We start from the raw sequence: 12,046 nt of genomic DNA, 5'->3' as shown, positions 1-12,046 counted from the left end.
TATTTTTCCAAAGACCGGGTCTCCGTGTGTTTCCCAGGCTAGTTTCGATATCCTGGCCTCAATCCCCTCGCCTATGCCTAATGTTGGTATTACAGTAGTGAGCCACCACGCCTGGCCACGATACTGTTGAGGTTTTAGGGTTAGTTACATTTAAGGGGCAATTTTCGCAGTGTAGTGGGGAGGAAAGTCAAGCAGTTATAGGTTTCTGGCGCTGTGAATCCAACTGCTGAACATAGCAAGAACTTATTATGCAACAACCTTTAATCAGTGGACCGTAAATAAGTTTAGTTTATCGGTTTTGGCCCAATTCTTGAGAAAGGTGAGAATTTGAATCCTTGAGTAGAAATACGTAGCTTATCAGTACAACAAAGTGATCACAACAAAGACTAACTTATCCTTTGTTACTTAACGTGGGCAGAGCTTTACCGCTGAGAATTCCTCAGCCTTTGAGTGTTCTCTTATTTACAACTGAAGTTGATAAGATGGTATTAAAAGTGAGATTCCTAGTAAGTAAACTTAAAGGCCTGAAGGACCAGTGATTAATGGGAAGTGCTAATAAGTCATATTTGAGGTTATCCAACCCGAGATTCTGATTTAATTGGTTTAAGGATACTATCACCTTGTGGGTTAGATTTGAAAAATAATAATTGCTTTAAGGAAGGAACCTGTTGGTATTTAAACAAAAAACTTTCCTTCCTGATTCTTACATGCCGTCACTTAGACAAATCTCTGGTCTACATGGCTGGATCTCTTTCTGCTAGTTAAATTCTGTGCTACCCTGTGAAAAAGAACTGAGATTAATAAAACGGTAGTGAGAACACAGGGAAAGATAAAAATCATAGCAAGCCCATCCAGTCATGCTGTAGTCATCCTCACAAGGATAGGGAAGGATCTTGTCCTTCATTTATCACCCAAAGTGTGAGTACAAACTTTAAAAACATATGATACTATAGGAATAATGAAGATGTCTCCATTTGCAAAAATTGTGTGAAAAAATGCACTTGACACAGGTATTTCCTATGATTTCATAATAGACAAAGGTTTAATTACACAACTCCTGGCTGAATCTAGAGTACTAAAATGTGGCTGTTAGAAAAGGTTGCTCTCTGGGCCCGATGCAGTAGCTCATGCCTGTAATCCCAGCACTTTGGGAGGCCAAGGCTGGCAGACAGCTTTAGGCCAGGAGTTGGAGACCATTCTGGCCTATGTGTTGAAACCCCGTCTCTACTAGGAATACAAAAAATTAGCCGGGCGTGGTGGCACACACCTGTAATCCCAGTTACTTGAGAGGCTGAGGCTGAGAATCGCTTAAACCTGGGACACAGAGGTTCCAGTAAGCCGAGATCACACCTCTGCCCTCCAGCCTGGGTGACAGAGTGTCGCCAAACAAAACAAAACAAAACAAAAAAAAAGATTGCTCTTACCCAGGGATGATGGTCAGATGCAATTACAGGTTATGAATTTGGCATAAAAGTAATGCTAAGTGTTTCACACTGCACTTACTGTTGTCAGTGTTCTAAGTGTTTTTTATTTACCAATTCATTTACACTTGTTTGTCTTTTTTTTCAGGTCTCCAACTCCTGGGCTCAAGCTGTCCTCCCACTTCTGCCTCCCCAAAAGCTGAGATTACAGGCGTGAGCCACCCGGCCCTACTCATTTAATCCTTACAACAACCCTTAGAGCTGGGAACTATTTTTATCATCATCACATAATTGTTTACAAAAATAAATCGAGGCTTAGAGAGCATATGCACCTCAACCCAAGATCCCACAAGTAGAATATTATTGTTACAGATTTGGTTGCAAATAATCTGCTTCTTATGATTGTGCTTTAAATTTTTCACCGTGTCACATCACTTTGGTGGTGTAAAATTATAAAACAACATTTAAGTCTTAACTTTAAAAATGTGTTTTTGGCCTGGTGCGATGGCTCATGCCCATAATCCTAGCACTTGGGGAGGATGAGGCAGTCAGATTGCTTAAGGCCAGGACTTTGAGACCAGCCTGGACAACATGGTGAGGCAATTTCTCTACTAAAAATACTCAAAAATTAGCTGGGCCTGGTGGCCTGCGTATATAATCTCAGCTACTTGGGAGGCTGAGGCACGAAAACCCAGGAGGCAGAGGTTGCAGTGAGCCGAGATCCTGCCACTGCTCTCCAGCCTGGGTGACAGACTAAGGCTCTGTCTCAAAAAAAAAATATATATATATATATACATATATATATATATTTATATGTATAGACATACATAGTTAAAATATATATATTATTTTTTACATCTTAAAGAGAAACATTATTTATATGCAAAAAATTTTATTTAGGCCCACTTAGCAATTCCAGATCTGACAACTTTTGAGGATTTAAAATTGTTTTTCGCCCTCTCCCTCTCCCTCTCCCCATGGTCTCCCTCTCCCTCTCTTTCCACGGTCTCCCTCTCATGCCGAGCCAAAGCTGGACTATACTGCTGCCATCTCGGCTCACTGCAACCTCCCTGCCTGATTCTCCTGCCTCAGCCTGCGGAGTGCCTGCAATTGCAGGCGCGCGCCGCCACGCCTGACTGGTTTTCGTATTTTTTTGGTGGAGACGGGGTTTCGCTGTGTTGGCCGGGCTGGTCTCCAGCTCCTAACCGCGAGTGATCCGCCAGCCTCGGCCTCCCGAGGTGCCGGGATTGCAGACGGAGTCTGGTTCACTCAGTGCTCAATGGCGCCCAGGCTGGAGTGCAGTGGCGTGATCTCCGCTCGCTACAACCTCCACCTCCCAGCCGCCTGCCTTGGCCTCCCAAAGTGCCGAGATTGCAGCCTCTGCCCGGCCGCCACCCCGTCTGGGAAGTGAGGAGCGTCTCTGCCTGGCCGCCCATCGTCTGGGATGTGAGGAGCCCCTCTGCCTGGCTGCCCAGTCTGGAAAGTGAGGAGCGTCTCTGCCCGGCCGCCATCCCATCTGGGAAGTGAGGAGCGCCTCTTCCCGGCCGCCATCACATCTAGGAAGTGAGGAGCGTCTCTGCCCGGCCGCCCATCGTCTGGGATGTGGGGAGCGCCTCTGCCCCGCCGCCCTGTCTGGGATGTGAGGAGCGCCTCTGCCCGGCCGCCATCCCGTCTGGGAGGTGAGGAGCGTCTCTGCCCGGCCGCCCCGTCTGAGAAGTGAGGAGACCCTCCGCCGGGCAGCCGCCCCGTATGAGAAGTGAGGAGCCTCTCTGCCCGGCAGCCGCCCCGTCTGAGAAGTGAGGAGCCTCTCCACCCGGCAGCCACCCCGTCTGGGAAGTAAGGAGCGTCTCCGCCCGGCAGCCACCCCGTCCTGGAGGGAGGTGGGGGGGTCAGCCCCCCGCCAGGCCAGCCGCCCCGTCCGGGAGGGAGGTGGGGGCGTCAGCCCCCCGCCCGGCCAGCCGTCCCGTCCGGGAGGGAGGTGGGGGGGTCAGCCCCCCGCCCGGCCAGACGCCCCGTCCGGGAGGTGAGGGGCGCCTCTGCCCGGCCGCCCCTACTGGGAAGTGAGGAGCCCCTCTGCCCAGCCAGCCGCCCCGTCCGGGAGGGAGGTGGGGGGATCAGCCCCCCCGCCCGGCCAGCCGCCCAGTCCGGGAGGGAGGTGGGGGGGTCAGCCCCCCGCCCGGCCAGCTGCCCCGTCCGGGAGGTGAGGGTCGCCTCTGCCCGGCCGCCCCTACTGGGAAGTGAGGAGCCCCTCTGCCCAGCCAGCCGCCCCGTCCGGGAGGGAGGTGGGGGGAATCAGCCCCCCGCCCGGCCAGCCGCCCCGTCCGGGAGGGAGGTGGGGGGGTCAGCCCCCCGCCCGGCCAGCCGTCCCGTCCGGGAGGGAGGTGGGGGGGTCAGCCCCCCGCCCGGCCAGCCGCCCCGTCCGGGAGGTGAGGGGCGCCTCTGCCCGGCCGCCCCTACTGGGAAGTGAGGAGCCCCTCTGCCCGGCCAGCCGCCCCATCCGGGAGGGAGGTGGGGGGGTCAGCCCCCAACCCGGCCAGCCGCCCCGTCCGGGAGGGAGGTGGGGGGGTCAGCCCCCCGCCCGGCCAGCCGCCCCGTCCGGGAGGTGAGGGGCGCCTCTGCCCGGCCGCCCCTACTGGGAAGTGAGGAGCCCCTCTGCCCGGCCGGCCGCCCCGTCCGGGGGGGAGGTGGGGGGGTCAGCCCCCCGCCCGGCCAGCCGCCCCATCCGGGCCGTGAGGGGTGCCTCTGCCCGGCCACGGCCCCGTCTGGGAGGTGTGCCCAGCAGCTCATTGAGAACGGGCCAGGATGACAATGGCGGCTTTGTGGAATAGAGAGGGGAGAAAGGTGGGGAAAAGATTGAGAAATCGGATGGTTGCCGTGTCTGTGTAGAAGGAGGTAGACATGGGAGACTTTTCATTTTGTTCTGTACTAAGAGAAGTTCTTCTGCCTTGGGATCCTGTTGATCTGTGACCTTACCCCCAACCCTGTGCTCTCTGAAACATGTGCTGTGTCAAACTCAGGGTTAAATGGATTAAGGGCGGTGCAAGATGTGCTTTGTTAAACAGATGCTTGAAGGCAGCATGCTCCTTAAGCGTCATCACCACTCCCTAATCTCAAGTACCCAGGGACACAAACACTGCAGAAGGCCACAGGGACCTCTGCCTAGGAAAGCCAGGTATTGTCCAAGGTTTCTCCCCATGTGATAGTCTGAAATATGGCCTCTTGGGAAGGGAAAGACCTGACCGTCCCCCAGCCCGACACCTGTAAAGGGTCTGTGCTGAGGAGGATTAGTATAAGAGGAAGGCATGCCTCTTGCAGTTGAGACAAGAGCAAGGCAACTGTCTCCTGTCCGTCCCTGGGCAATGGAATGTCTCGGTATAAAACCCGATTGTACGTTCCATCTACTGAGATGGGGAAAAACCGCCTATCTCACCTATCACCGCCTATCACCACTCCCCAATCTCAAGTACCCAGGGACACAAACGCTGCGGAAGGCCGCAGGGTCCTCTGCCTAGGAAAACCAGAGACCTTTGTTCACTTGTTTATCTGCTGACCTTCCCTCCACTATTGTCCTATGACCCTGCCAAATCCCCCTCTGTGAGAAACACCCAAGAATGATCAATAAAATAAATAAATAAATAAATAAATAATTGTTTTTCATGTAAAATACAATTTTTTTCCCTTAACAAAAATTCAAATTAAAAAAAAAGTATGATTACAATTCCTTTGTGGTAATTACTTGGACTACAGAGTTTTGTACTTTTGCTTCAACTGAATCAATGCGACTATTATTGTCCTTCCAGATCTTTTGATGTCACCAATGACACATCCATCATTTTCATCATCATAACAATAAGTGACTGAACCTCACCAAAAAGAAAACAAAAAATAGCTTTTACTCACTAGATTCCATTTATGAATTTAAACTCAAATCAAGTGTCCAATGCCAGATGAATGGATAAGGAAAATGGGGCATATATACAATGAAATACTACTCAGCCTTAAAATAAATCTTGTCATTTCTTATAGATGAAACTGGAGACCATTATGCAAAGTAAAACAAACTAGGCACAGAAAAACAAAAACTGCGTGATCTCACTTACATGAGGAATCTAAAAATGTTGAACTGAGTAAAATTGTCATTGCCAGAGAACAAGGATGGAGGTAACAATGGGACTCGGGAGGTATAAATACTGGAGATCTACTTTAAAGCATGGTGATAATAGTTAATGTACTTGATACTGGAAAATTGCTGATAGGCCTTAAATGTTCTCACCACAGAAAGTGAGGTGGATGTTAAGCTCGATGTAATCATTACACAATGAATATATGTCAGATCAGATTGTACATGTAAGTTGTCATACCTTAATGAGGGTGGAGGAAAGTAAAAAATTATCTTAAAATTCTTTAAGAGGTCGCACTTTGAGAGGCCAAGGCGGGCGGATCGCGAGGTCAGGAGATCGAGACCATCCTGGCCAACATAGTGAAACCCCATCTCTACTAATACAAAAATTAGCTGGGTGTAGTGGCGCAAAACTGTAATCCCAGCTACTCGGCAGGCTGAGGCAGGAGAATCGCTTGAACCCAGGAGGCGGAAGTTGCAGTGAGCCGAGATCGCGCCGCTGCACTCCAACTCGCAGACAAAGACGAAACAAAAAAAACCCACAAATACTTGTGGATTTGGAGGCTTTTCAAAAACGATTTCCGATTACCACTGTCAAGCTCACTACGGGGGTTACATAAACGTTTCTGGTACTGCACATTCTGTGTACGAGTATTTTCTCCATTACGTAAACAAGCTTACGAATTTTGAGCAAGTTTAGACATTACATCTCGTAATTAGTCCTGCCTACAGTGACCCCGGGTGAATGGCCACACGTGTGCCGCTGTGTTCAAAAAACTGTTCCCCCCAGAACTGACTCAGAACCAAGCAAAATTCCGTACCTACCAAAACCACTCCTCAGTGTTACCACTCTTCAGCTGAGAAAGTAGGGTGGCCCTGAAAAGGGCCTTTTATTGATAGAAAGGGACGCTCAACCACCGAAACCGTAGAGGGTGCGGCCCTGGCGCTTGAGCGCGTAGACCACATCCATGGCGGTGACCGTCTTGCGCTTGGCGTGCTCTGTATAGGTCACGGCGTCCCGGATCACGTTCTCCAGGAACACCTTCAGCACCCCGCGAGTCTCCTCGTAGATGAGGCCGGAGATGCGCTTCACGCCGCCGCGGCGAGCAAGGCGCCGGATGGCCGGCTTGGTGATGCCCTGGATATTGTCGCGCAGTACTTTACGGTGGCGCTTAGCGCCGCCTTTGCCAAGACCCTTCCCGCCTTTGCCGCGGCCAGACATGACGAGCAAGAGGAGTCTCACCCAACGCTTTGTGAGGCCTCTGGCCTGAGGCAGCGCCTTTATACGACAGTTGGCGGACCGAACTGAGAACCTGAAAGAAGTCGGCGGGAAGTCCCGCCCCGGTGGGGGAGGGGAAATCTAAAGGGCCAAACCGAAATAGGGGGGAAAAAAAAGCGAGCTTCTTGTTTCCGTGTTCTGAATTTTGTAATGTGCAAAGTATTCTGTTACCACGTTATGAGGCTTTAAAAAATTGCTTTTGAACGCAGAAGATATACATCAATACTGTGGGGAATACAAAAAAGTGACCGGGCTCGGTGGCTGACGTCTGTGATCCCACCATTTTAGGAGGCCGAGATGGGAGTGTACCTGGGCGTCAGGAGTTTGAGATCTGCGTGAGCAAAATAGCGAGACCCCATCTCTACCAAGACAACAATTAAATTAAATTAAAACATTAGTCCAGCATGATAGCGCTTACACTTTAGGAGACACTCTTTTTTTTAAATATATTAAAAAAAAAAACCAGTACAGTAACAACAGCCTGTTATCCCATCTTCCCATCACACAAAGAGCTCTACTGCTAGCTAATAAGATAATTTGGTGAGCAGATAAATGCACATTTTTTCCCACAAAATGTATGCAGTATATGGCATTTTACAACTTCGCGTTGTTTTAATCAATTTCCCTTATTTAAAAAGTTTACAAAAGTGATTTTAATGTCTTTATTATTTCTTCTCCTGAATTCTGCCTGCTACAGTGTTAACCAATTCCCTAGGAATTTATTAATCAACCAGATTTTTTAAATAATTCATCTTTTCCCTGCGGATTAAGTACCACCTTTAACATTATACATACTCGGAACTATTACCAAAATTCTATTCTGTCTATAATTTAATCAAGGTGGTTTGCCAAAGGGAATCTATGTTCACGGTTAAAAGCTTAGAAAATTCACATTAGGAAAAATTTTAAAAGCAGTAATTTATATCTGCTTAATATTCCATCATAAGAATTTTCTAGGTCCACTTTCACAGTATTTCTAGTACTTAGCAATAATGTGCTAATTTTCTTTTCCTAATTTAAAGGAGAACTGTACAAAATTTACTTCCTGAGGAAAATGTAGAATTGAAGCGCTTTGTCACAAAGGATGCAGATTTTAAGGTATTTTGATAACTGTTACTACATTTTCCTCAAAAGTTTTATTCCATTCACTTTTGCCAGCAGTAACTGCTGTGTATGTTTACCAGCATTGAGTATTATGGTTTTTAAATTCTATGTTACATTCAGAATTTACTTTTAGTTTTGTTGATTGAGTCTTGAGTTAATGAACTAGTTACCCAGCAAGATTTATTGATTTGTTTATAAGTAATAAATTGTCATCTTTAATATAAGCTTGTTTAGGCCGGGCGCGCTGGCTCATGCCTGTAATCCCAGCACTTAGGGAGGCTGAGGCAGGCAGGTCACTTAAAGTCAGGACTTCGAGACCAACCTGGCCAACATGGTGAAACCCCGTCTTTACTAAAAATACAAAAATTAACTGGGCGTGGTGTCACATACCTGTAATATTAGCTACTCAGGAGGGTGAGGCAGGAGAATCTCTTGAACCTGGGAAGCGGCGCTTACATTGAGCCGAAATCACACCACAGCACTCCAGGCTAGACAACTGAGTGAGACTCCATCTCAAAAAAAAAGAAAAGAAAAGAAAAGAAAAAAACAATAAGAAACCTAAAAATTTTATTTTTTCGTGTAAAAACTGGCCACAAAGAAATTATTTGACTTACCTTGTTTGACTGTAAGTCGTAGGACCTCCGTTCCAGAGAGGGCCCTGCCCCATATACAAAAGAAATACTACACAGAGCGCCCAAGAAGAATCTAGACAGGCCTGGCTGGGTTTCCCCACTCAGTCTCTTAGCATTAGATCATACACATTATGTCCAGTCATATTTCTACATAGCTGTCCATACTTTGTTGAACCTAAGCATAAAAATGGACAATTTCCCCTGTATCTTTAGGTCTTCATTCTGAAGGCTTCTGCGTACATGTTAAATAAATGTGTATGCCTTTTCTTCTATTAATCTGCCTCTTGACAGTGATTTTCAGTGAAGCTTCAGAGTACATAGGGGAAGCTTTCCCTGTGCCCCAACAAGTTCAATCATATGGTCAATGATTCAATCAATCCTGCCTATATAATAAAACCCTCATAAAAGCTCTGGATACCAAGGTCAGGGAGTTTATTGGTTTGTGAACACATAGATATCCTAGGGAGGTGACTCCTGGTTCCACATAGAGATGGCACAGAAGCTTTGCTTTCAGGACCCTTCCAAGCCTTGCCCTATGCGTCTCTTCATCTGACTGGTCCTGATTTGTATTCTTTATGATAAAACTATAATCATAAGGACAGCACTTTCTATATTCTATGAGTCATTCTAGCATATTATTGAACATGAAGGGGTAGTGGGAATCCCTGGATTTGAAGCCAGTTGCTCAGAAGAGCAAGTGGCCTGGGAACCCCACTTGCAGCTGGCGTCTGAAGTTGGGACAGTCTTGTTGGGAAATGTGCCCTTTAACTGGTGAGGTCCAGCTAACTCCAAATAATCAGTGCCTGAATTGAATTGAAGTACATCAGTTGGTGTCCAAATAACTAGAAAGAAATTCATGTACGTAGTTAAAAATTTAGGAAATTCAGATTAGGCAAACTGAAAAAATATCTATAAATCACAGTCCGAAGATTATTCTATTAACTTTATGATACCTATCTATTGCAGTAGTCGTCTTTTCATATATTTAATATTTTTTACATGCATGGATACACTGTGGAATTCTTTTAACTCTAAAGAAAGTGTAATCTTGACACAATTTAAAATGTAATTTCTTTGTTTTTTAGTGTTTCCATGTAAATATTTACTTTGGAGAATAGTGAGTTCAGCCTCTGCAATCAAACAAACCTAGACTGAAATTGTGGCTTCGTTGCAGATACTTTTGCTGTTTTTGTCTTAATTTCCTCATCTTTTTAATGAGAGTAAAGGCAATCAGAGTTACTCCACAGGATACTTTAGGAAATAATGGAGATAATTGAGAAAAATGGCTAGACTAGCTTAGTAGATCTCACTAGTCACATATAGAAAATTTATATTTACTGTTTATTAATATTTTATTGATATTCAATTACTTAACTTTTTGTATATATTTAAATTCACATTTATGCTATTTGCACTAGTCCAAATAAAGTACTTAACAATTTTTATGTCATTTAAATTTCTAATATATTTGAATAAATGCTTAGAGTTTTATGTTTTGATATAACTTCTAAACAGCTATTAGAATATATTAATAGCTAAAATAAAAATCAAATATAATCAAATGAAGGCTTTTTTTTTTTTTTTTTTTTTTTGAGACAGAGTCTCGCTCTGTCGCCCAGGCTGGTGTGCAGTGGCTTGATCTCAGCTCACTGCAACCTCCACCTCCCTGGTGTAAGCGATTTTCCTGCCTCAGCCTCCTAAGTAGCCATGCCACCAGGCCCGGCTAATTTTTTGGATTTTTAGTAGAGGTGGTGTTTCACCATGTTGGTCAGGCTGCTCTCAAACTCCTGACCTCGTGATCCACCCACCTCGGCTTCCCAAAGTGCTGGGATTACAGGCATGAACCACCGAGGCTGGCTGAAGACTCTTTTTGAGGCCTGTTCTTCATTTCACACTTCAAACATCATCACAATATCAATAAAGAGAATATGTTTATACATACAGTTAAAATGAAGACATACATAGTAAACAGATTTAAGATATGAAAGAAAAACATTGGAAAACCAAGAAGATACCTAAGAGAGTAGAAAGTTTGTCAAAGTTTGTCGTTAATTTTGTCAGGAAAACCTGGTTTTCCTGGAAGCCTCATGTAGGGGAGGAAAAAAATATTTTCCCTCTACACTTCTGAGTTCTCAGCTAGAGCCCTTGTGACAAAAGACAGATTAAGAAGAGAAAAACAAACAAGTTTATTAACATGGGTACAGCACATGTCTCATGTGAGTGTACCCAGAAATGAGTAACTAAAAAATGTGACTTAAAACTCCAGTTTATATACAGCATCTTTAATAAGATCAATAAGTTTTTAGAGAAATTAGAAGACAAAGGAAAAGGATTTTGAGTTTTTAGGAGTGACAAATTGTGGGAAGGCAAATATATACGAAATTAATGGTAGATAAAGGCTGGTTAGTAAAGTTGTTATGCAGATTGCTCTGGTGCCCTCTCCAGGCTGATGAGAGTCTGATGTTGTCTCTGGTGATTAATTTTTGCCCTTTCTGGTAGAGAGGGGAGGAGAGACACCTCCGTACATTTATGTCCTGCTTTTAGGCAAATAGGGAGAGGGCAGAGAGTTTTCTTGTATCTGCTTCTTCTTAGTTGCCCTCAACTCAAATATTCTTTATGTCAATGTGGCATATTTTGGGGTGGTGTGTCTTGCCACCCTTCACTCAAAAACAGCTAATCTCTACCCAAAAAGAGAATCCTGGCTGGGCGCGGTGGCTCACGCCTGTAATCCCAGTACTTTGGGAGGCCGAGGCGGGTGGATCACGAGGTCAGGAGATTGAGACCATCCTGACTAACACGGTGAAACCCCATCTCTACTAAAAACACAAAAAATTAGCCGGGCATGGTGGCGGGCCCCTGTAGTCCCAGCTACTCGGGAGGCTGAGGAAGGAGAATGGCGTGAACTCGGGAGGTGGAGCTTGCAATGAGCCGAAATCATGCCACTGCACTCCAGTCTGGTTGACAGAGCAAGATTCCATCTCAAAAAAAAAAAAAAAAAAAAAAGAGACAGAGAATCCTTCCCCTAAAAGGAGACCCTAAGTATCGGCCCTTACCCCTTGCCTAGTGTGCCTGCCTTTATTCAAAATGTGAGACTCAAAACTTATTCGAATGTTACTCTTTTATTGTCTCACAATAAATCCAAGCCCATAACCATTTCTTGTAGGAATTAGTCTTTTTGAGACACTTCACAGTACTCACAAGCCTAAAGACAGAAAACTAGATTTTTTTTTCTTTTCAAAGAATTTAACCCTTGCTTAATAATAATCAGCTGTGACATTTGGATTTAAGTGTGAAGTTACTAACAAACATAGCACTCCTAGGTAGAATCCACCCAACCATGACCATGAACCTCCAAGTCATAGCTTGAATGTACCCATTGCATTGAACGGCCTCTACTTTTTTCCCAAAAGCCCAAATGCCTCTGTGCTATTTCTGTCTCATTTAAATTTAAGCTTCTTGGCCAGGTGCAGTGGCTCACGCCTGTAATCCT

General features: G+C 45.7%; 1 protein-coding gene across 1 annotated transcript, besides 5 other annotated features; it reads right to left on the bottom strand.

The window, feature by feature from the left end:
* Window positions 2,148-2,789: an enhancer, noted in NCBI's record as "H3K27ac-H3K4me1 hESC enhancer chr6:27795877-27796518 (GRCh37/hg19 assembly coordinates)". NCBI's record gives its function as "activates a minimal SCP1, AML or CMV promoter by ChIP-STARR-seq in primed H9 embryonic stem cells {active_cell/tissue: H9 hESC(primed)}" and the evidence as "EXISTENCE:reporter gene assay evidence [ECO:0000049][PMID:30033119]".
* Window positions 4,074-4,717: an enhancer, noted in NCBI's record as "NANOG-H3K27ac hESC enhancer chr6:27793949-27794592 (GRCh37/hg19 assembly coordinates)". NCBI's record gives its function as "activates a minimal SCP1, AML or CMV promoter by ChIP-STARR-seq in naive H9 embryonic stem cells {active_cell/tissue: H9 hESC(naive)}" and the evidence as "EXISTENCE:reporter gene assay evidence [ECO:0000049][PMID:30033119]".
* Window positions 4,718-5,359: an enhancer, noted in NCBI's record as "NANOG-H3K27ac hESC enhancer chr6:27793307-27793948 (GRCh37/hg19 assembly coordinates)". NCBI's record gives its function as "activates a minimal SCP1, AML or CMV promoter by ChIP-STARR-seq in naive and primed H9 embryonic stem cells {active_cell/tissue: H9 hESC(naive and primed)}" and the evidence as "EXISTENCE:reporter gene assay evidence [ECO:0000049][PMID:30033119]".
* Window positions 6,002-6,643: an enhancer, noted in NCBI's record as "NANOG-H3K27ac-H3K4me1 hESC enhancer chr6:27792023-27792664 (GRCh37/hg19 assembly coordinates)". NCBI's record gives its function as "activates a minimal SCP1, AML or CMV promoter by ChIP-STARR-seq in naive H9 embryonic stem cells {active_cell/tissue: H9 hESC(naive)}" and the evidence as "EXISTENCE:reporter gene assay evidence [ECO:0000049][PMID:30033119]".
* On the bottom strand, window positions 6,408-6,796 carry H4C11 (H4 clustered histone 11). Its single transcript, NM_021968.4, has one exon. The coding sequence runs from the start codon at window positions 6,761-6,763 to the stop codon at window positions 6,452-6,454; it is 312 nt and encodes a 103-aa protein (NP_068803.1). The 5' UTR covers window positions 6,764-6,796; the 3' UTR covers window positions 6,408-6,451.
* Window positions 6,937-7,076: an enhancer, noted in NCBI's record as "active region_24315". NCBI's record gives its function as "activates an Ori minimal core promoter by ATAC-STARR-seq in GM12878 lymphoblastoid cells {active_cell/tissue: GM12878}" and the evidence as "EXISTENCE:reporter gene assay evidence [ECO:0000049][PMID:35858748]".

Source organism: Homo sapiens, chromosome 6 (assembly GCF_000001405.40).
Source record: "Homo sapiens chromosome 6, GRCh38.p14 Primary Assembly".
NCBI lineage: Eukaryota > Metazoa > Chordata > Mammalia > Primates > Hominidae > Homo > Homo sapiens.
Note: the sequence above shows the minus strand (reverse complement) of the source record. Positions and strands in the feature narration are given on the sequence as shown.

What these genes read in the sequence shown, in the direction of transcription:
- H4C11 (NM_021968.4), bottom strand. Translation starts at nt 6,763, where the DNA reads ATGTCTGGCCGCGGCAAAGGCGGGAAGGGTCTTGGCAAAGGCGGCGCT.